This window comes from Homo sapiens, chromosome 9 (genome assembly GCF_000001405.40).
Source record: "Homo sapiens chromosome 9, GRCh38.p14 Primary Assembly".
NCBI classification, from domain to species: Eukaryota; Metazoa; Chordata; class Mammalia; order Primates; family Hominidae; genus Homo; species Homo sapiens.
Window position 1 is genome coordinate 136,753,675 of NC_000009.12, and position 18,114 is coordinate 136,771,788.

Here is an 18,114-nt window from a genome sequence, read left to right on the forward strand (position 1 = left end):
AGCAGGGCCTTTCCAGTGTCCCGGCCGTGCTGGGGGCTGGCGAGGTCCCCCTACTCGGGCTGTTCCCCCAGAGCTCCCGGCACCACTCGACCTCAGGTATCATTTTCCGCCGCCCCGACGAGGCAGCCACCCTCATAAGCCTGGGTTGTCTCACCTGCATATGTGGGGACCGGCTGATTCCCCAGGGGCCTGGGCGCAGAACCTCCGGGCTGACACTGTCACTTTCCTTGCCCTTCCCGTGTCCCAGGCCAGGCGGGAGGAGAAAGTGATGCAGTCGGCTGGTGGCAGCCGAGGCCACGGGGTGACAGCCCACTGTGGAAGCGGACACTGAGCAGGGCTGGGCAGCTGGGGGTCCAGGGAGGCTGGAAGCGGGGCCCATCGGGTAGGGCCTTCAGCACGGGCCGTGAGCCTGGAGCCCTGGGCAGTGGGGAGCCATGGAGGATGCAGGCAGGAGGGGTGTGGCCTCCATGCGTTTGACAGACCTGCTGAGACTCCACCAGGAGCCCTGTTTCTGTCTCTGGTCTATACCCTGGGGCAGCCTGACCACGACCCTAGCAGGGCGGGAGGGCAGGGGTTGCTGCCTTGCACGTGAGCTGCACTGTTTGTCCAGTAACCACGGAAAACACACCTCCTGTTGCCAGACCTGGGGCGGGTGAGTCCCCCCACACCTGTCACCCATCGGCCCTCCGGAAGGACACACCAGGCAGTGGCTTGACTTCACAGTTTATTCAGAGCAGGTGCAGGTGACCTGGTGGGCAGGGTGCCCAGGAGGGGCAGGGGTGGGCGGGCGCTCCGAACCTTGTGGTCTGAGGCAGGAACTCCATTAAATCAGCTCCTGCGACACAGAAGTGCAGGGGCTCAGGCCCGTGTGGTCTCTGGAGGCCCCACGGGGCTTCGATGAGGGCCACACGGCGGGACTTCTGTCCTCGCTGCCTGGTTTTGCGCAAAGCACCCAGCTCCCTGAGCGCCTTCTCAATCTGCAAAATGGGGTAACAGGCCCAGCCTCTAGGGCCAAGACAAAGCGAGGTGAGGGAGACACTGGGTTCTCGCAGTGCCCAACATGGGAGCCCTGAGGCAGCGCCCGCAGGATCTGTGCCCCGCCGCCGACGGGACCTTCGGGGGCAGAAGCAGCCGGCAGTCCTGCACAGAACACCGAAGAAAAGGCGCCATTTCTGCTCCCCTGCCCCACCCAGCTCTGCACCCCGTGACCCCAGCCTCCCAGGGTCCCTGCCTGGCAGCCTAGGGTCACCACCCTGGAGGTTCCAGCTCTTTCCAAACCAGGAGACAGACTCATCTCTGGAGCTGCCCACCAGTGGTGTTTGGTGTCCTGTTCACAGGAAGGGGTGAGAAGGCCCAGCCCAGGGCCGGGAGGCGGAGCCACGGGGGCTCCTGACAGGGCCAGGGACTGGGCCAGGGGCCCGGGAACTTCAGCACAGGCCAGGGTCGGGGGTCAGGCTCACCTCCTTCAGGAGCTCGGCACACCGCCCTGCAGGATAGGCCAGCATGAGGAGCTGCAGAGTCAGCCCACAGGGCCCAGCCCAGCCTCCACCCCAAGGCCCCTGGGCTCACCAGGCCGGGCCGCCAGGTAGAGACCAGTGTCTGCTGTCAGCTCCCGAAACTTCCAGAACCCCAGCCGGTCCTTGTCCTCAAGGCTCCGAGCTGTGGGGCACAGGGGGGCTGGGCGGGCAGTCCCTGGGAGAGCAGCAGCTGGGCAGAGCCCCCCAGGGCCAAGCTTACTAAAGTACTTGAGGACGCGAAAGTTCCTGCCCCGCCACATCAGGGACACCCGCAGGATGGCGTAGCCCTCGTAGTCGGTGTCCAGCACGTGGATCTCTCTGTGGCCTTCAAGAGCCGGCCATGGCGTTGGGGGAGACGTCTGAGGGGGACGGACCTCGAAGGCCAGGGTCTGCAGGGTCTAACTCCATCCTGCCCCCACCCAGTCCCAGCACTTGAGTGGTTGGAGACACTACAGAAGCTTTTGAAGGATGATCCAGTGTGTTGGTGGGAGAATGGGAAGGTCTGGGGCATGAAATGTGCAGGGAACAGCATGGGGAACAGTGCAGGGAACCCTGCAGGGAACAGCATGGGGAACGGTGCAGGAAACAGCATGGGGAACAGTGCAGGGAACAGCATGGGGAACAGTGCAGGGAACAGTGCAGGGAATGCATGGGGAACGGCACAGAGAAAAGTGCAGGGAACAGCATGGGGAATAGTGCAGGGAGCAGTGCGGGGAACAGTGCAGGGAGCATTGCAGGGAACAGCATGGGGAACAGTGCAGGGAACAGTGCAGGGAATGCATGGGGAACGGCACAGAGAAAAGTGCAGGGAACAGCATGGGGAATAGTGCAGGAAACAGCATGGGGAACAGTGCAGGGAGCAGTGCGGGGAACAGTGCAGGGAGCATTGCAGGGAACAGCATGGGGAACAGTGCAGGGAACAGCATGGGGAACAGCGCAGGGAACAGCATGTGGAACAGCGCAGGGAACAGCATGAGGAACAGTGCAGGGAACAGCATGGGGAACAGCGCAGGGAACAGCATGGGGAACAGTGCAGGGAACAGTGCAGGGAACGCATGGGGAATGGCGCAGAGAAAAGTGCAGGGAACAGCATGGGGAATAGTGCAGGAAACAGCATGTGGAACAGTGCAGGGAGCAGTGCAGGGAACAACATGGGGAACAGCACAGGGAATAGTTCAGGGAACAGCATGGGGAACAGTGCAGGGAACAGCACAGAGAACAGTGCAGGGAACAGCATGGGGAACAGTGCAGGGAACAGCATGGGGAACAATAAGGCCTAGCTGTGTGCACAGCCGGGTTCCACCTGCCATCACAGGGCAACTGCACTTACCAGGAAAAGCGAATTTTCCCGTACTGTCTATTTCTGAGCCCACGATCTTCTCTATCTCACAGCTTCCTGAGCTGAAAGGCAGCAAAGTGCCCATCGGTAAAATGCTAGCCTGTGTCCCGCCTGCTGGGCTCCTTCCCGGAGTGGGGCTGTGTCTTTAGGAAGGGCACAGGCAGCACTGTGGAGTATCCCAGGCCTGGAGCAGGATGAGGCGGGGAATGTGCCAGGTGGGGCCTTCCCCTGGGGATTCTGTTCCCTCCAGCCAGTCACCTGTCCCACACCCCTTTTCCTTCCTTCTAAGTTCACGGGGCTTCATTAAAACACTATGCTTATATTTGGGATAAAATGCAGATCCAGGAGCCTGGGGGTCGAGGGCTCAGGCAGACGGGCACCGGGAGTGCTGGCCCACCAGCGGGACGGCACTCAGCCCAGACCCCACGCTGCAGCGGGTGCAGCAACCCACGCCCAGTCCCCGGCCATGCATGCCTCTTCCTCTCCAGCAGCCCCCAGGCCTCTTACCTGTTATATGCAACCTTCACGGTCAGGTTACTCCCGCTCAAGGTGAGGAACAAGCCCTCCACCCGCTTCGGGGCCGTCAGCACCAGGCTTTGATCGGAGGCCACACCGACTTCCCTCCAGAATCCTCCAATCTAGAGAGATACGGAGCCTGGCCAAGAGCTGAGCAGTGGGTCTGAGACCCCCAGGGGCATTCCACGAACCCCCGGGCAGGGGCCTGCTGGGCTCTGAGAGGTCAGCAGATGGCTGTGAGGCTCGGTGGCAAAGCAGCAAGACATCTGTGAGCCCACTGTCCCCAGGCATGTGTCCCTCCAAGCGGTGCCTTCAGGCCATCAGACAGCAATGCCCACAGGGCAGCCCCTCCCCACTGGGCCATCTAGAGCTGCGGAACAGTCCCTAGGGCTTCTGCGACATGTCGGGAGGAACCACAGGCCCTGCCTGACCTCGGAGGCAGGACCCAGGAGCAGAGGCCTGGAAAAGAAAGCCCGCAGGGCGCGGCGGAGTGAGAAACGCCAGAGAACAGGTGGCTCGGGTAGCGCAGCTCGCCAGCCTGCCAACCACGCCAGAGGATGGGCCTCCTGCCCTCAGCAACCCGCCCAGAGCCGGGACTTCCGCTGAGACTTTTAAAAACCCTACCATTTTCGGGAGGAAAGAATCTTCGTCTCCGGCATCTACCTTCTCTGGGCCTGCTAATGTGCCTCTGGCCCAGCAGCCGGCACAGACTCAGCGGAGAAGAAAATGCCGCTAACAGGAAGTGTCTAGCCGGGCACCAGCGTCCCCACGAGCTCCCCACACCGGGAGAGGCCTCCTTCCCTGAGCCTGAGGGGTTGGGGGTGTAGGAGGAGCCCCACCAACTAAGAAGGAGAAGCCACCTTCTGCCGGTCCAGCTCCTCCATGGCTGCTGCCACCTGCGCCCGGAGCACCACGAGGACACCCAGGATGGTGCACGGCAGCCTGGCCTCCGTGGCGGGGTCCGGGCTCCGGGTTCCCCTGCTGCACAGCCTGGGCCGATTCTATACGGACAGTGCAGGCTTGTGCGCCCACCCGGGAATGTCATCAGGACAGCTTGGCTGCTGGCAGCTCAGAGACGTGGGTTTCTGCACAAGCGCCATCGGCCCTGGTGACACCCACGCCCACCGCAGGGGTTAGCCTGGCCTAGACAGCAGCCTGCCCAGCCACCCTCCTGGCATATGGACAGCGGTGGACGCTGCTGGGGCCGTCTCGGAGCCTGAGAGGAAGAGGAGCTCCACCCACACCACCTGGGGCTCGGTGACCCCCACCCCACATGACACTTGTTTTTTTGGGCTCGTTCTGGCCTGCGCTGCGAGGGCTGTGGGCACTGATGGGCAACGGACCAGAGCCTCCAGCACTTTCCTGTGCCACCCCACGCCTGGCCCTTTGAAATGTGTGCCAGACGCAGTGGGCAGTCAGAGCTCCGGAGGCCGGAGGCACAGCGCCAGCGACCAGAGTGACAGTGACAGTGGGGAGGGCCTCTGCTGCACCAGGCATCACCACCCGGGGGCAGTGTGGAGCCCGGCCCTGGAGCCTGATCACCCAGGCTTGCAGCCCGCCTGGCCTCTTCCTGGCTGTGCAGCCTTGGATAAGTTACCCAACCCTTCTGTGCCTCGGTTTCTTGATTTTTTTTTTCTTTTTTTTTTTTTCCTGAGACAGAGTCTTGCTCCATCGCCCAGGCTGGAGTGCAGTGGCACAATCTCAGCTCACTGCAGCCTCTGCCTCCTGGGTTCAAGCGATTCTCCTGCCTCAGCCTCCTGAGTAGCTGGGACTACAGGTGTGCGCCACCACGCCCGGTTAAGTCTTGTATTTTTAGTAGGGACGGGGTTTTGCCATGTTGGCCAGGCTGGTCTCAAACTCCTGGCCTCAAGTGATCCACCCGCCTCGGCCTCCCAAAGTGCTGGGATTACAGGCATGAGCCACCGCGCCAGGCCAGTTTCCTGATCTTTGAAATGAGGAGTACGCTGGGTAGCTACCTATGTCTGTGGGTCTGCTGTGGAGCGCTCAGGCTGGCTGGCAGTCCCCTGGCCACAACGGTGACCCATTTCCAGGGGTGTAAACCAGGTGCCCACGATCATATCAGTGGTGAGGGGCAAAACCCAAGTGGGCCTAACTCCCCGGCCTCCTGCAGCTCCCCCAGCTCCCCCCCCGGCACCGGGGCCTGTGTGCCCAGCACAGCCCCAGTGGCCGGGCCGTCTTCACAGGGTGCCCAGTTCCCCACAGCACTGCAGACCCATAGGGACTGGGCCAGGATGCTCCATTCTTCCTGTGGGTGCAGCCCCCACACAGGCCAAGAGTGGCTGCTGCCTCCTGCCCCTCCCCAGGGCCCCTCACCCCTGTCCCCTGCCCCCTCACCCAGGGCCCTTCACCCCTGCCCCCTGCCCCTTCCCAGGGCCCCTCACCCCTGCCCCCTGCCCCTCCCCAGGGCCTCTCACCCCTGCCTCCTGCCCTCTCACCCCTGCGTCCTGCTCCCTCGGCCAGGGCCTTCTCACACTTGCCTCCCTGCCTCAGTCTCCCCAGCAGTGCTGGGGTCAGTCAGGGGCCCGCATTGCCCTCCCCCAGGGCATGTCCAAAGAGGTGAGGGCCATGAGGCTGCAGCATCTGTTTATTGAATAGAAAGAGACGTCCCACAAGGCATCCCACAGGCGGGGGGTGGAGGATGGAGAGACTCCAGGTGGTCCCCGAGGGCTGTGGGTCTTGACTCCAGGGGCAAAGGCGCCTGCTGCTTTGGCTCCACCTGCGTAGAAAACGCATGCCTACTCCATCACCCACTCCCGCGACAAACGCCCTTCCTGCTCCCCACAAGCTGGGCATCACTCTTCCAAAGCCACCACTGACAGGCCAGGGAGAGCTCATTCTGCTCCCAAAACTCCTGCAAACCTGGAAACACACACCAGCTACCACTGCTGCCCCAGGCGAGAGGCTGCCCCAGAGGCCATCCCTGGCTCCAGCACTTCCCCACCTTCCCCGGCGCGGGAGGACCCAGTGCCATGCCCCAGTCCCTGGCTGAGTGGCAGTGAGCCATGGCCTCTGCCTGGTCCTCGGTGAAGGGGGCTGCATGGCAAGAAAAGCCCCGGAATGTCCATGAAGCCACCACAGAACCCACAGCCTCCACGGTCACGCGTGGTGGCCCAGGCGGGGCACTCTACCCCGAAAGCTGCTTCTTCAAGATCATGGCGGGATGGGGCTACATGTTCTGCCCACAGAACCTTCTGGACAAGGGCGATTTGGTGTTGCCCCCCATGTTTCCCAACCCAGCGGGGGTGTGCAGGGAGACGTTGGTGCAGACTTGTGCAAAGCTGAACAGCCCCAGTGTCCCCAGGCAGGACGGCGAGTCTCCAGGGAGAGGGTCCTGGGAGTGGAGGCGAAGCTCATGGAGAGGAGCAGAGATGCAGGAAACGCAACAGCAGCACGGCAGAAACGCAGGAGAAACAGCCCCGCCTCAGAGCCGCCCACCTCCTCCCGCCATGCCAGGAAGGGCCAGTGTCCCTCCAGACGCCGGTGACTGTCACGTCAGACACGTGACGTGTGGCTGTGCCCAGATTCTTGGCGGTGAGCCCCGGCGAGGGACCCAGCGGTCTCCCGGCGTCTGGTTTAGGGGGGGATCTCCGCAAGACCCCGCCCGCACGTGGCTCCTGTGAGGGGCACTGCGCGCGAAGGCTGTGGTCTGCCCTCCTGGGCCCTGGGGGAGAAGACAAGGCTCCCACAATTACAAGGCAGGACCCTGCCCTGGGGAGGGAGCCAGGGGCTGTGTGGATACAGCGGGGACACAGAGCTGTGGATTGAATCGTGTCCCCAAAACTTCAGGCCCACCTGGAACCTCCGAACGTGGCCTTATTTGGAAACGGTCTTTGCAGATACCACTAGTTTAGAATCTGGAGATTAGATCATCCTGCATTTACAGTGGGCCCTGAATCCAAGCACAGGCATCCTCCTAAGAAGAGGGCCGTGGGGCACTCGCTTCGGCAGCACAGACACTAGGGGGCAGTTTGGACACAGATGCACAGAAGGAAGGTGGCTGTGGGAGGACGGAGGCGGAGACAGGGCTGATGCTTCCACAGGCCAAGAAATGCCCAGGACAAGCGGCAGCCGTGGGAGCTGGGGGGGCGGTGTGGGAGGGAGTCTCCTTCAGAGCTTCCAGAGGAACCAGCCCTGTGGACATCTTGATTTTGGACTTCTGGCCTCCAGAACTGGGAGAGATAAACGTCTGCTGGTTTTGTCTGTTTGTTTTGAGATGGAGTTTCTCTCTTGTCACCCAGGCTGGACTGTAATGGTGCAATCTCGGCTCACCGCAACCTCCGCCTCCTGGGTTCAGGCGATTCTCCTGCCTCAGCCTCACAAGTAGCTGAGATTACAGGTGTGCACCACCACGCCCAGCTAAGTTTTGTATTTTTAGTAGAGACGGGGTTTCTCCATGTTGGTCAGGCTGGTCTCGAACTCCCAACCTCAGGTGACCCGCCTGCCTCGGCCTCCCAAAGTGCTGGGATGATAGGCATGAGCCACTGCACCCGGCCAAACTTCTGCTGTTTTAAGTCGCCCCATTTGTGGTACTCTGTGATGGGTACCTTAGGAAATCAAGGGAGGCTTCCTGGAAGAGGTAATGTCTAAGCTGAGGCCTGAAGCATGGGGTCGCCAGGCAGAACAGCGGGGCAGGCATGGGGCAGACAGAACCAGATGTCAAGCTGCGATAGGGAGGGGAGAGGCAACCAGGGCATCCCCTGCAGGGCCTGGAGAACCCACCTGGGAAGGGCGGGGGTGGGGCTCCGGAGGTGTCAGGGCGCCTCCTTGCTCTCAGGGTTGCATGCATCTGTGGGGAGGAAGACATCCGTGAGATGCTGACGGCCAGGACCGCCCTCGCTTCCCGCAGCCCCCAACCCCTGGGTGCCAAGGGCCACTGGACAGCTCCACCATCCCCAGAGAGTGGAGCCCAGAGCTTCCCTCCCAGCGCTGCCCAAAGCCTCTCCCGTAGTCTGTTCTGGGGGAGGTGGGGTAGGGGCTGCAGGGGCTGCCAGCCCACCCCTGGAAGAGAAGACCACCTGCTGCCCGCACACTGCCTGTGCTGTGAGGGGAAGGAAGGGTGGGCTCATGGGAAGGGAGGGAGAGGCTGGGGGGCATGGGGTGGGCGGGGCTTGCCAGGGTACCTGACTGGGGCAGCATGACCATCATGTCCTTGGGGAGCCCCAGGGTCGGGTAGAAGTCCTGGAAGGACTTCAGAGCCTGGGGACTCACATCCTGGGTCCGGCCTGGGCAGAGCAGAGGTCACTGTGAACTCAGCAGCTCACAGGAGTGCAGCACGGGGTCTCCTGGCCTCACTCCACCAGCCTGAGGGCTGACAGCAAGGCCGCCACCCTGGGTTGGGCAGGTTGTGCGCGGCATAAAGCTCCTGCCTGGCTGAAGGAAACTTGGGGCCCCCTTCCCCAATTCACACCAAGATGTCTGGGAGGTTGGGGTGGTCTGGCTGTCCTCCTGGGCCCCACTACCCCTTGAGCCTCTTTCCCTGCAGCCCGGAAGCCTCCAGCCTCACTCTGTCGGCTCCAATCGGGGAGTCCCCAGGAGTTAAAGAACCTGAGCCCCAGCCGGCGCGGTGGCTCACGCCTGGAATCCCAGCACTTTGGGAGGCCGAGGCGGACGGATCACGAGGTCAGGAGATCGAGACCATCCTGGCTAACACGGTGAAACCCCGTCTCTACTAAAAATACAAAAAATTATTTATATTTTTACAAATACAAATACGGGCATGGTGATGGGCGCCTGTAGTCCCAGCTTATCGGGGGGCTGAGGCAGGAGAATTGCTTGAACTGGGGAGTCGGAGGTTGCAGTGAGCCGAGATCGCGCCACTGCACTCCAGCCTGGGCGACAGAGTGAGACTCCATATTAAAAAAAAAAAAAAAAAAGAACCTCAGCCCCAGCCCCAGAACTCAGGCAGCGAGGCCAGGCAGGGAAGGGCGGGGCACCACTCTCAGGAGGCCAGAGAGGAGCATGCACCGCGGGACCCTCCCCCAAGCCAACCTCCTCCACATCCAAAGCACGGCGGGCCCAGCTCCCACCCCACCCGGTCCTGGCCAGGCCAGGAGTGTGTGCGAAGGGTCACAGCAGGAGAGGGCATGGGGCAGCACCAGAAGGGGCGGGCCCGGGGATGAGGAGGCGGAGCCTAAACTCGGCCTAAAAGGCGGGGGGCGGAGGGGTGAGGGCGGGGCCTGTGAGGAGGCGCGGGGCGGCAGGCGGGCGGGGCGGGGGTAGGCAGAACGGGGGGCGGGGCCTGTGGGAAGTTGGGGAGGGGCCAGTGCGGGGAGGTGGGACAGGCACTCACTGTAGAGCTGCACCATGGTGCTGAGGGCCCCCTCCAGCTCCTTGTAGATGTAAAGGACGGCGAAGGAGCTGTAGTCTGTGTCCACGATGCGCACGTCCAGGTAGCCCAAGGCTGCGGAGAGGCAGGCGGCCTTTTCAGGCTGGAGAAGTGGATGGGCCCGGGCACCGACCCCACCCATGCCTGCCCCTGCTGCTGGGCTGTGAGCCTGTTCCCCGAAGACAGAGGAGGGGCGGGGAGGGCGGGCAGGGGGCTGGAGACTGGGATGGACAGCTTGGGCCCGGGTGGAAAGTCAGCCCCACGTCACCCCCAGAGAAGCGGCATCCAGCACCCCTGAAGGCAGAGGAGGCAGGACCTACCCGGGACTCTGAAGTGTCCCTCGGAGCCCACCTTCAGGTACTCGGCATCCACCTGGTTACAGCCGTCCGCCCTGGGGGTGCACAGCCGGCTCACTCATGGCACCCAGCTACCTCAGCTCCCCAGCCCAGCCCAGGCAGCCCAGCCCAAGTAACTCACCCCGGGAACTCCATGTGGACGTGGAGGCCGCCCTCCTCTGTGGGCCTGATGGCCCTGGTGGACATGGACAGGTGGTCCTTCTTGCCCAGGAAGACCCTGCAGTCAGATGCCATGGAGACCACGTACCAGAGGCCTGAGAACTGCCGGGGGCTTAGTCACCCGCAGGCCAGGACAGCCAGCAGCAGGGCCCTCCTTGCCCAGGGACCCAGGGGACAACTCAGAAGTCACACAGCAAGGGGTCTCGGAGTGGCCATGTCTTGGGTGTGAGCTGAGCCCAGGTGGACAGGAACTCATCTTGGGTAGGTCACAGTGCAACTGTGAGCCTCAGTTCCCAGCTGTGAAGTGGGTGCAGTAATGATCCATTCACAGGTTGGTTTAGGATTAAGCGCAGAGTGGGTCTATAGCACGTGCCTGGCCGGGCACAGAGCAAGCGCCCCAGGAAAGGCAGTTGTCACAATTATCACGTTGTCTCTGGCAGGGGCCCAGCTCCCACCCACCACAGGACAGCAGAGGCCCCTGGTACCTTTTCAGCATTGAAGTCAGGCTGCAGCAGAACCTCAGCCTGAGCCGTGGGCGCCCAGAGCAGGGTCAGGATTGCGCCGAGCAGGAATGACATCATCCCCTCCCCTGCCCTCCAGCCCCTGGTGCTGAGTCCCCAAGCCCCAGGGGGCCAGCTTTATAGCCCAGGCCACCACCTGGGTGCACCTGCTCCTGGGCGGAGCAGATGGAAGCGGAAGGCACTTCGGCTCTGAGACTCCGGCCCCCTTGTCCATTGTTTGGCACAATCACTCGGATGTCCCCCAGCCCAGGGGGTCATTTCCTGGAGGGCTCCAGACAGCCAGGCTCTGGCCTGATGCACCCGGGCTGAGGATTTGTCCCCTAGGCCTGCCAGACTATGTCACCAGTCACGGGGCCACTGCCAAGCCACAGCAGAGACTTGTCCTGCCTTGCCTGGACTCGCACCCAAGCCCCTCTGTCCACACTCTGTCTGGCTGGGCTGGGCCAGGGCCTTTGGGGTACAGCTGCAGAGAGCTGGGCTGGGGTTGGTCTGGCTAGGCCCCCTCTCCTGGGATCTGGCCACCCAGAAAGCCCCCTTCTCTCACCCCCAACATGGGGGGTAGGGTCACACTGGCAGAGTGTCCAGGGCAGAGCTTGTGCCCCCACACTGTGAGAGAGGCCTGGGCACCCCTCACTCCAGACCCCCACCACCCCCGATGCAGCCCCCAGCTGGGCTTCCAGCAAGCAGGCCAGGGACCGGACGGGACCGGACAGGGCTGGGCTGGCCCTGGGGAGGATTACGGCATTGGATACCGCCTTATCACTGGTTGTATAAGCGTGCAGGGGGCAATGACGCCAGGAAGGCGCCGCAGTCTGGCAGAGGCAGGAACCTCCCAAGTGACCTCTCTGTGTCCCCACAGAGCACCCAGGGACACTGGGCAAGGAGCAGCAGGTGGCCTCGGAGCACGCCCAGACCCCTCTGGTCAGGGGCGGGAGTCCTGCCAGGGAGGCCAGCACTGCCAGTCCTCTGGAGTGAGAGTGAGGCAGGAGAAGAGGGCCTGGACGCAGGGAGCCCAAGGGCGTCCTAGAACCAAATCAACTGGAAACACTAACGATGACGGGAATGTGAATGGCTTTGTACCTTCACTCCATCCTCTCCGTTTACGTAGGGCTCATACCGAGTACATGACTTCGTTTTGTTTGTTTGTTTTTTGAGATGGAGTTTTGCTCTTGTTGCCCAGGCTGGAGTGCAGTGGTGCACTCCTTGGCTCTCTGCAGCCTCTGCCTCCCGGGTTTAAGCGATTTTCCTGCCTCAGCCTCCTGACTATCTGGGATTACAGGCACCCGCCACCACACCCAGCTAATTTTGTATTTTTAGTAGAGACGGGGTTTCTCCATGTTCATCAGGCTGGTCTTGAACTCCCGACCTCAGGTGATACACCCACCTCAGCCTCCCAAAGTACTGGGATTACAGGCGTGACAGTATGCTCAGCCGAGAAAATGACTTTGACTTCATCCTCTTCATTTACATAGGGCATACACCAAGTAACCAATGGTAAACCGCTAGAGGATATTGAAACACTAGAAAATTCTGTAACCGGGGCCCTTGAGCTGCTTGCTCAGCCCGCTCCCACCCTGTAAAGAGTGCTTTCATTTTCAATAAATTTCTGCTTTTGTTGCTTCATTCTTTCCTTGCTTTGTTTGTGTGTTTTGTCCAATTCTTTGTTCAAAATGCCAAGAACCTGGACACCCTCCACTGGTAACGTGAGAGGGGGACAGGGTCAGAGAAAGACCCTTGGCCCCCAGCATCGGGGAAGGGAAGGAGCCGAGGGCTTCTGCTTGTGGCCTCCACTGGTCTTCAGGAGGTTCCAGTTCCCAGCCACGCCCCTGACAGGTTCACCTAAGCCAGCAGTTAGATACAGCAGGAAAACTGTGGTCAGCAAGCCACCCAGATGCCGAAGCAAGAGACCGAGGGCACGAGCTGTTCCAGTTTAATAAAATATATAAAATAACAAGAGTTATACTAGATCTAGATCATAGACATGATTATATATGAATATTATTAATCATTAGCTTGTAGCAATTACTCTTTATTCCAATATTATAATAATCCTTGCTCTACAATTATAACCTAGGAAAAACCAGGCCATACAGAGATAGGAGCTGAGCGGACATAGTGAGAAGTGACCAGAAGACAAGAGTGCGAGCCTTCTGTTACGCCCTGACAGGGCCACCAGAGGGCTCCTTGGTCTAGTGGTGACGCCAGCGTCTGGGAAGACACCTGTTGCCAAGCGGACCGTGATCTAGCAGTAGCGTCAGTGTCAAGGGAAAACACCTGCTACTTAGCAGACAGGGAAAGGGAGTCTCCCTTTCCCCGGGGGAGCTTAGAGAGGACTCTACTCCTCCACCTCCTGTGGAGGGCCTGACATCAGTCAGACCTGCCCGCAGTTATCCAGAGGCCTAACCGTCTCCCTGTGATGCTGTGCTTCAGTGGTCACGCTCGTAGTCCGCCTTCATGTTCCATCCTGTACACCTGGCTCTGCCTTCTAGATAGCAGTAGTCAATTAGTGAAAGTACTAAAAGTCTCTGATATGCAGAAATAATGATGTAAGCTGTCTCTCTCTCTCTCTCTCCGCCTTGGCTGCCAAACAGGGAAGGGCCCCCCATCCGGTGGACACGTGACTCACGTCACCTTACCTATCATTGGAGATGACTCACACTCTTTACCCTGTCCCTTTTGCTTTGTATCCAATAAATATCAGCACAGCCAGACATTCGGGGCCACTACCGGTCTCCACGTCTTGGTGGTAGTGGTCCCCAGGCCCAGCTGTCTTTTCTTTTATGTCTTTTTCTTGTGTCCTTATTTCTATGCCCTCTCATCTCAGCACACAGGGAGAAACTCACCAACCCTGTGGGGCTGGTCCCTACAGAAAACATCTACAAAACGCATACACCTGAGACGAGACTGAAATCCAGCATCCATGAGGAACTCCCAAGACTGAGTAATAAGAAAACAAGCCACTCCATTAAAAATAAAAAGAGGCCAGGTGTGGCATCTCACGCCTGTGATCCTCGCATTTTGGGAGGCCGAGGCGGGTGGATCACCTGAGGTCAGGAGTTCGAGACCAGCCTGGCCAACATGGTGAAACCCTATCTCTTCTCAAAATACAAAAATTAGCCGGGCATGGTGGCGGGCGCCTGTAGTCCCAGCTACTCGGGAGGCTGAGGCAGGAGAATCGCTTGAACCCAAAGTGAGGTGGGTGGGGGGAGGTTGCAGTGAGCCAAGATCGCGCCGTTGCACTCCAACCTAAGTGAAAGAGCAAAATTCCGTCTCAAAATATATATATAAACAAATAAAAATAAAAAGGCAAGAGATCTGAAAAGATACTCCACCAAAGAAAACATCCGGATGGGAGATGAGAACACGCTCAGCATCAGTCCATGGGAAGATGCAACCTGGAAGCTTTTTGAGACCCCTCTGTGCACCTCGCAGACCATGGAAGGCGTTCCACAGAAACAGGCTCAATCCCTAGAGCCTGTGAGGGCTGGGAGTCAGCAGAGCTATCACCCTCTGCGGGAAGAACAAGACGGGACCACACTGCAAAACTTCCTGGCAGACTCTCATGCAGTGAAACATTCCACCAACCTACCTACTTATGGAGGTCTCCACCCGGGAGAAATGAAAACTACGTTTACAGCGAACTTGAGCACTTCTGCATGAGCAGCACGTGATGGACACTCAGCAGTAAAAGGAACGAAGGTGGCTGAATCCCAGGTGCACCCTGCAGAGGGACAGAAGCCAGGTGGAAAAGGCTGCGATCTGCGACTCCTTTTATACGACGTTCTAGGACAGGTGAGCCCACAGGGCAGGGGGCTTCCCAGTGGCTCTGAGGGCTGAGGTGCGGGCAGTGATTGACCGCAAGGGACCTCGAGGAAGCTTTGTGGGCACCAGAGCTGCTGTGTCGCACTTGCAGTGGTTCCATGAACATTTGCATTTGTCTAAACTCACACAACTGTGCCCTCAAAGGGGCGAATGCAGCTGTGCATACATCATACCTCAACTTTTATTTATTTGTGGTTTTTCTTCGTTTTCTTTTCTTTTTTTCTTTTTTCTTTTTTTTCTTTTTTTTTTTTTTTTTTTTTTTTTTTTTTGAGACGGAGTCTCGCTCTGTCGCCCCAGGCGGGACTGCGGACTGCAGTGGCGCAATCTCGGCTCACTGCAAGCTCCACCTCCTGGGTTCACGCCATTCTCCCACCTCAGCCTCCGGAGTAGCTGGGACCACAGGCGTCCACCACCATGCTCGGATAATTCTTTGTATTTTTAGTAGAGACAGGGTTTCACCATGTTAGCCAGGGTGGTCTCGATCTCCTGACCTTGTGATCCACCTGCCTCAGCCTCCCAGAGTGCTGGGATTACAGGCATGAGCCACCGTGCCTGGCCTTGTTTTGTTTTTTAAGACGGGGTCTCACTCTGTCACTCAGGCTGGAGTGCAGTGGTGCAATCTCAGCTCACTGCAATCTCCACCTCCCGGGTTCAAGCGATTCTCCTGCCTCAGCCTCCCATGTAGCTGGGATAACAGTAGCCACCATGCCCGTCTAATTTTTTTTGCATTTTTAGTAGAGACAGGATTTCACCATATTGGTCAGGCTGGTCTCAAACTCCTGACCTCAGGTGATCTGCCCTCCTTGGCCTCCCAAAGTGCCGGGATTACAGGCGTGAGCCACTGCGCCTTGCCTTTTTTTCGTTTTTGACATAGTGAACTGGGGTCCTTTCTCAGAGCTCAGTCCCCTCCCACCCCAACCCCCATGCACGGCCCCCCCCCGCCACCCTGCCACCCCCCCATGCACTGCCCCCCCCGCCACCCCCCCATGCACTGCCCCCCCCGCCACCCCGCCACCCCTCCATGCACTGCCCCCCCGCCACCCCGCCACCCCTCCATGCACTGCCCCCCGCCACCCCCCCATGCACTGCCCCCCCGCCACCCCGCCACCCCTCCATGCACTGCCCCCCGCCACCACCCCATGCACTGCCCCCCCCGCCACCCCGCCACCCCCCCATGCACTTCCCCCCCGCCACCCCGCCACCCCCCATGCACTGCCCCCCCCGACACCCCGACACCCCCCATGCACTGCCCCCCCGCCACCCCGCCACCCCCCATGCACTGCCCCCCCCGACACCCCGACACCCCCCATGCACTGCCCCCCCGCCACCCCGCCACCCCCCATGCACTGCCCCCCCGCCACCCCGCCACCCCTCCATGCACTGCCCCCCGCCACCCCCCCATGCACTGGCCCTCCCGCCACCCCGCTACCCCTCCATGCACTGCTCCCCCCGCCACCCCTTCCCCTTGAGCTCTTGCTGGGCTCCTGGCTCCTGCCCTGAGAGCTGCTCCAGTCCCCACCTGCTTGTTCTCCAGCCTCCGCTAATCCTCTGAGCTCAGATATTCTTCCAATAAATTCCCAATGGCTTCGGTTAGCCAGGGCTGCCACTCATCTGTCTCCCCCACGCCAGGCCTCGCCCCCACCCCGAGTGTCCCAGGCCCCCGCCACTGCACCCTGCCCCTAATAGCACTTCCTAACCCGAGACCTCTGCCCTCAGAGGAGGAGGAAAAACCTTCCTCTCTCTCTTTGCCCTGCTGAGGGGGTCTGCCCTGCACGACAACACCAGGGGGCCCCGAGCCCCCTCCCCTTCCCTGGGCAGCCTCCTCACTCACGCAGCCTCATCTGCATGGCTCCCCTCCGCGTGCTGGTGGCGTCCCTCCATTCTTCCACCAGGGGGCAGTCTGCTCTGCTCTGCGCTCTGGGCCCCGCCTGCCCGCACCCCGCCTGCCCCTCACCCCGCCTGCCCCGCACCCCGCCTGCCCCTCACCCCGCCTGCCCCGCACCCCGCCTGCCCCTCACCCCGCCTGCCCCGCACCCCGCCTGCCCGCACCCCGCCTGCCCGCACCCCGCCTGCCCCGCACCCCGCCTGCCCGCACCCCGCCTGCCCGCACCCCGCCTGCCCCGCACCCCGCCTGCCCGCACCCCGCCTGCCCCGCACCCCGCCTGCCCCTCACCCCGCCTGCCCGCACCCCGCCTGCCCCGCACCCCGCCTGCCCCGCACCCCGCCTGCCCGCACCCCGCCTGCCCCGCACCCCGCCTGCCCCTCACCCCGCCTGCCCGCACCCCGCCTGCCCGCACCCCGCCTGCCCCGCACCCCGCCTGCCCGCACCCCGCCTGCCTCTGGGTACATCGTTTCTTTGGGTTGGAGCTACCCCTCAGCGTCCCTCCTGAAAGTGTGTCAGCGCTGAGCCAGGATTGGAAAAAGAGATCGTCAACGTTTTATTCTGGTGATAATCCTCCAAATAAAATCATTACCAAGTCACGAATTCTCCCTGAATCATCATCTATAAACTTTTTTATCTTTATTTATTTTTTAAATTTTTCTGGAGACAGAGTCTCACTCTGTCACCCAGGCTGGAGTGCAGTGGTGCGATCTCGGCTCACTGCAACCTCCGCCTCCCGGGTTCAAGGGATTCTCCTGCCTCAGCCTCCCGAGTAGCTGGGATTACAGGCGCGTGCCACCTGGCTAATTTTTGTATTTTTAGTAGAGACGGTGTTTCACCATGTTGCCCAGGCTGATCTCGAACTCCTGACCTTAAGTGATCCGCCTGCCTCGGCCTCCCAAAGTGCTGAGATGACAGGTGTGAGTCACCGTGCTCAGCTTATTTCTTTACTTTCTTAATAAACTTGCTTTCACTTTGTGGACTTGCCCCAACTTCTTTCTTGCACAAGGTCCAAGAACCCCTCTCTTAGCGTCTGGATCAGGACCCCAAGAATGAGAGAATGGGAAGGCGCAGGGCGTCCAACAGGACTTTCCGGGAGCATGTTTGCCTGACTCCAGGTGGGCCCTGTCGGAAGCTGGGTCAAAATGAAAGACAGCTGCCAGTTACTACCCACGTCCTGGGCACGGGGGCCATTGCTCCGGGCTTGCTGTGGGCTTCCCGCTGGCTGCTGGAATCAGAGCTCTGTCCTGGTAGGGTCTGCTCATTGTCCATTTGCATATTCCCGTCTCCCACCATCCAGAAAACAATGTAACAGGAAGGGCACAGTGGCTGACGCCTGTAATCCCAGCACTTTGGGAGGCCAAGGTGGGCAGATCACCTGAGGTCAGGAGGTCGAGACCAGCCTGACCAACATGGAGAAACCCCGTCTCTACTAAAAAGATACAAAAAAATTAGCCAGGCGTGGTGGCTTACGCCTGTAATCCCAGCACTTTGGGATCAGGAGTTCGAGACCAGCCTGACCAACATGGTGAAACCTCGTCTCTACTAAAAACATATAAAAAAATTAGCTGGACATAGTAGTGGGCACCTGTAATCCCAGCTACTGGGGAGGCTGAGGCAAGAGAATCACTTGAACCCAGGCGGCGGAGGTTGCAG

At 60.5% G+C, this 18,114-nt stretch overlaps 2 protein-coding genes and 1 long non-coding RNA gene across 7 annotated transcripts, besides 5 other annotated features; all 3 read right to left on the bottom strand.

Moving 5' to 3' along the window:
- Window positions 1-711: 711 nt before the first annotated feature.
- On the bottom strand, window positions 712-4,869 carry LCN8 (lipocalin 8). Of its 4 annotated transcripts, none has more exons than NM_001345934.2 (7): window positions 4,777-4,869; window positions 3,364-3,494; window positions 2,848-2,918; window positions 1,738-1,842; window positions 1,570-1,659; window positions 1,461-1,486; window positions 712-835 (listed from the first exon to the last, which is right to left on the bottom strand). In NM_001345934.2, the coding sequence occupies exons 1-7, from the start codon at window positions 4,867-4,869 to the stop codon at window positions 824-826; spliced, it is 528 nt and encodes a 175-aa protein (NP_001332863.1). In that variant the 3' UTR covers window positions 712-823. The 4 variants fall into 4 exon arrangements, 3 of the variants coding, with proteins under 3 accessions (NP_001332863.1, NP_848564.2, XP_016869761.1); NM_178469.4 differs by lacking the exon at window positions 4,777-4,869 and adding an exon at window positions 4,233-4,569; XM_017014272.3 differs by lacking the exon at window positions 712-835 and having other exon boundaries at window positions 1,225-1,486.
- Window positions 4,584-4,773: an enhancer, noted in NCBI's record as "active region_29324". NCBI's record gives its function as "activates an Ori minimal core promoter by ATAC-STARR-seq in GM12878 lymphoblastoid cells {active_cell/tissue: GM12878}" and the evidence as "EXISTENCE:reporter gene assay evidence [ECO:0000049][PMID:35858748]".
- On the bottom strand, window positions 5,960-10,844 carry LCN15 (lipocalin 15). 2 transcript variants are annotated; one of them, XM_011518672.2, is made up of 7 exons: window positions 10,719-10,844; window positions 10,196-10,291; window positions 10,039-10,109; window positions 9,683-9,793; window positions 8,514-8,615; window positions 8,113-8,179; window positions 5,960-6,109 (listed from the first exon to the last, which is right to left on the bottom strand). In XM_011518672.2, exons 1-6 carry the CDS (start codon window positions 10,727-10,729, stop codon window positions 8,145-8,147), a joined length of 426 nt encoding a protein of 141 aa, XP_011516974.1. In that variant the 5' UTR covers window positions 10,730-10,844; the 3' UTR covers window positions 5,960-6,109; window positions 8,113-8,144. The 2 variants fall into 2 exon arrangements, with proteins under 2 accessions (XP_011516974.1, NP_976222.1); NM_203347.2 differs by having other exon boundaries at window positions 10,196-10,335.
- Window positions 9,567-10,214: an enhancer, noted in NCBI's record as "H3K4me1 hESC enhancer chr9:139657693-139658340 (GRCh37/hg19 assembly coordinates)". NCBI's record gives its function as "activates a minimal SCP1, AML or CMV promoter by ChIP-STARR-seq in naive H9 embryonic stem cells {active_cell/tissue: H9 hESC(naive)}" and the evidence as "EXISTENCE:reporter gene assay evidence [ECO:0000049][PMID:30033119]".
- Window positions 12,490-12,539: an enhancer, noted in NCBI's record as "active region_29325". NCBI's record gives its function as "activates an Ori minimal core promoter by ATAC-STARR-seq in GM12878 lymphoblastoid cells {active_cell/tissue: GM12878}" and the evidence as "EXISTENCE:reporter gene assay evidence [ECO:0000049][PMID:35858748]".
- Window positions 12,550-12,599: an enhancer, noted in NCBI's record as "active region_29326". NCBI's record gives its function as "activates an Ori minimal core promoter by ATAC-STARR-seq in GM12878 lymphoblastoid cells {active_cell/tissue: GM12878}" and the evidence as "EXISTENCE:reporter gene assay evidence [ECO:0000049][PMID:35858748]".
- Window positions 12,669-16,478, bottom strand: LOC107987143 (uncharacterized). The gene is made up of 3 exons (XR_001746981.2): window positions 16,408-16,478; window positions 14,087-14,475; window positions 12,669-14,000 (listed from the first exon to the last, which is right to left on the bottom strand). It is a non-coding gene; the product is annotated as an uncharacterized LOC107987143 (long non-coding RNA).
- Window positions 17,130-17,630: an enhancer, noted in NCBI's record as "H3K4me1 hESC enhancer chr9:139665256-139665756 (GRCh37/hg19 assembly coordinates)". NCBI's record gives its function as "activates a minimal SCP1, AML or CMV promoter by ChIP-STARR-seq in primed H9 embryonic stem cells {active_cell/tissue: H9 hESC(primed)}" and the evidence as "EXISTENCE:reporter gene assay evidence [ECO:0000049][PMID:30033119]".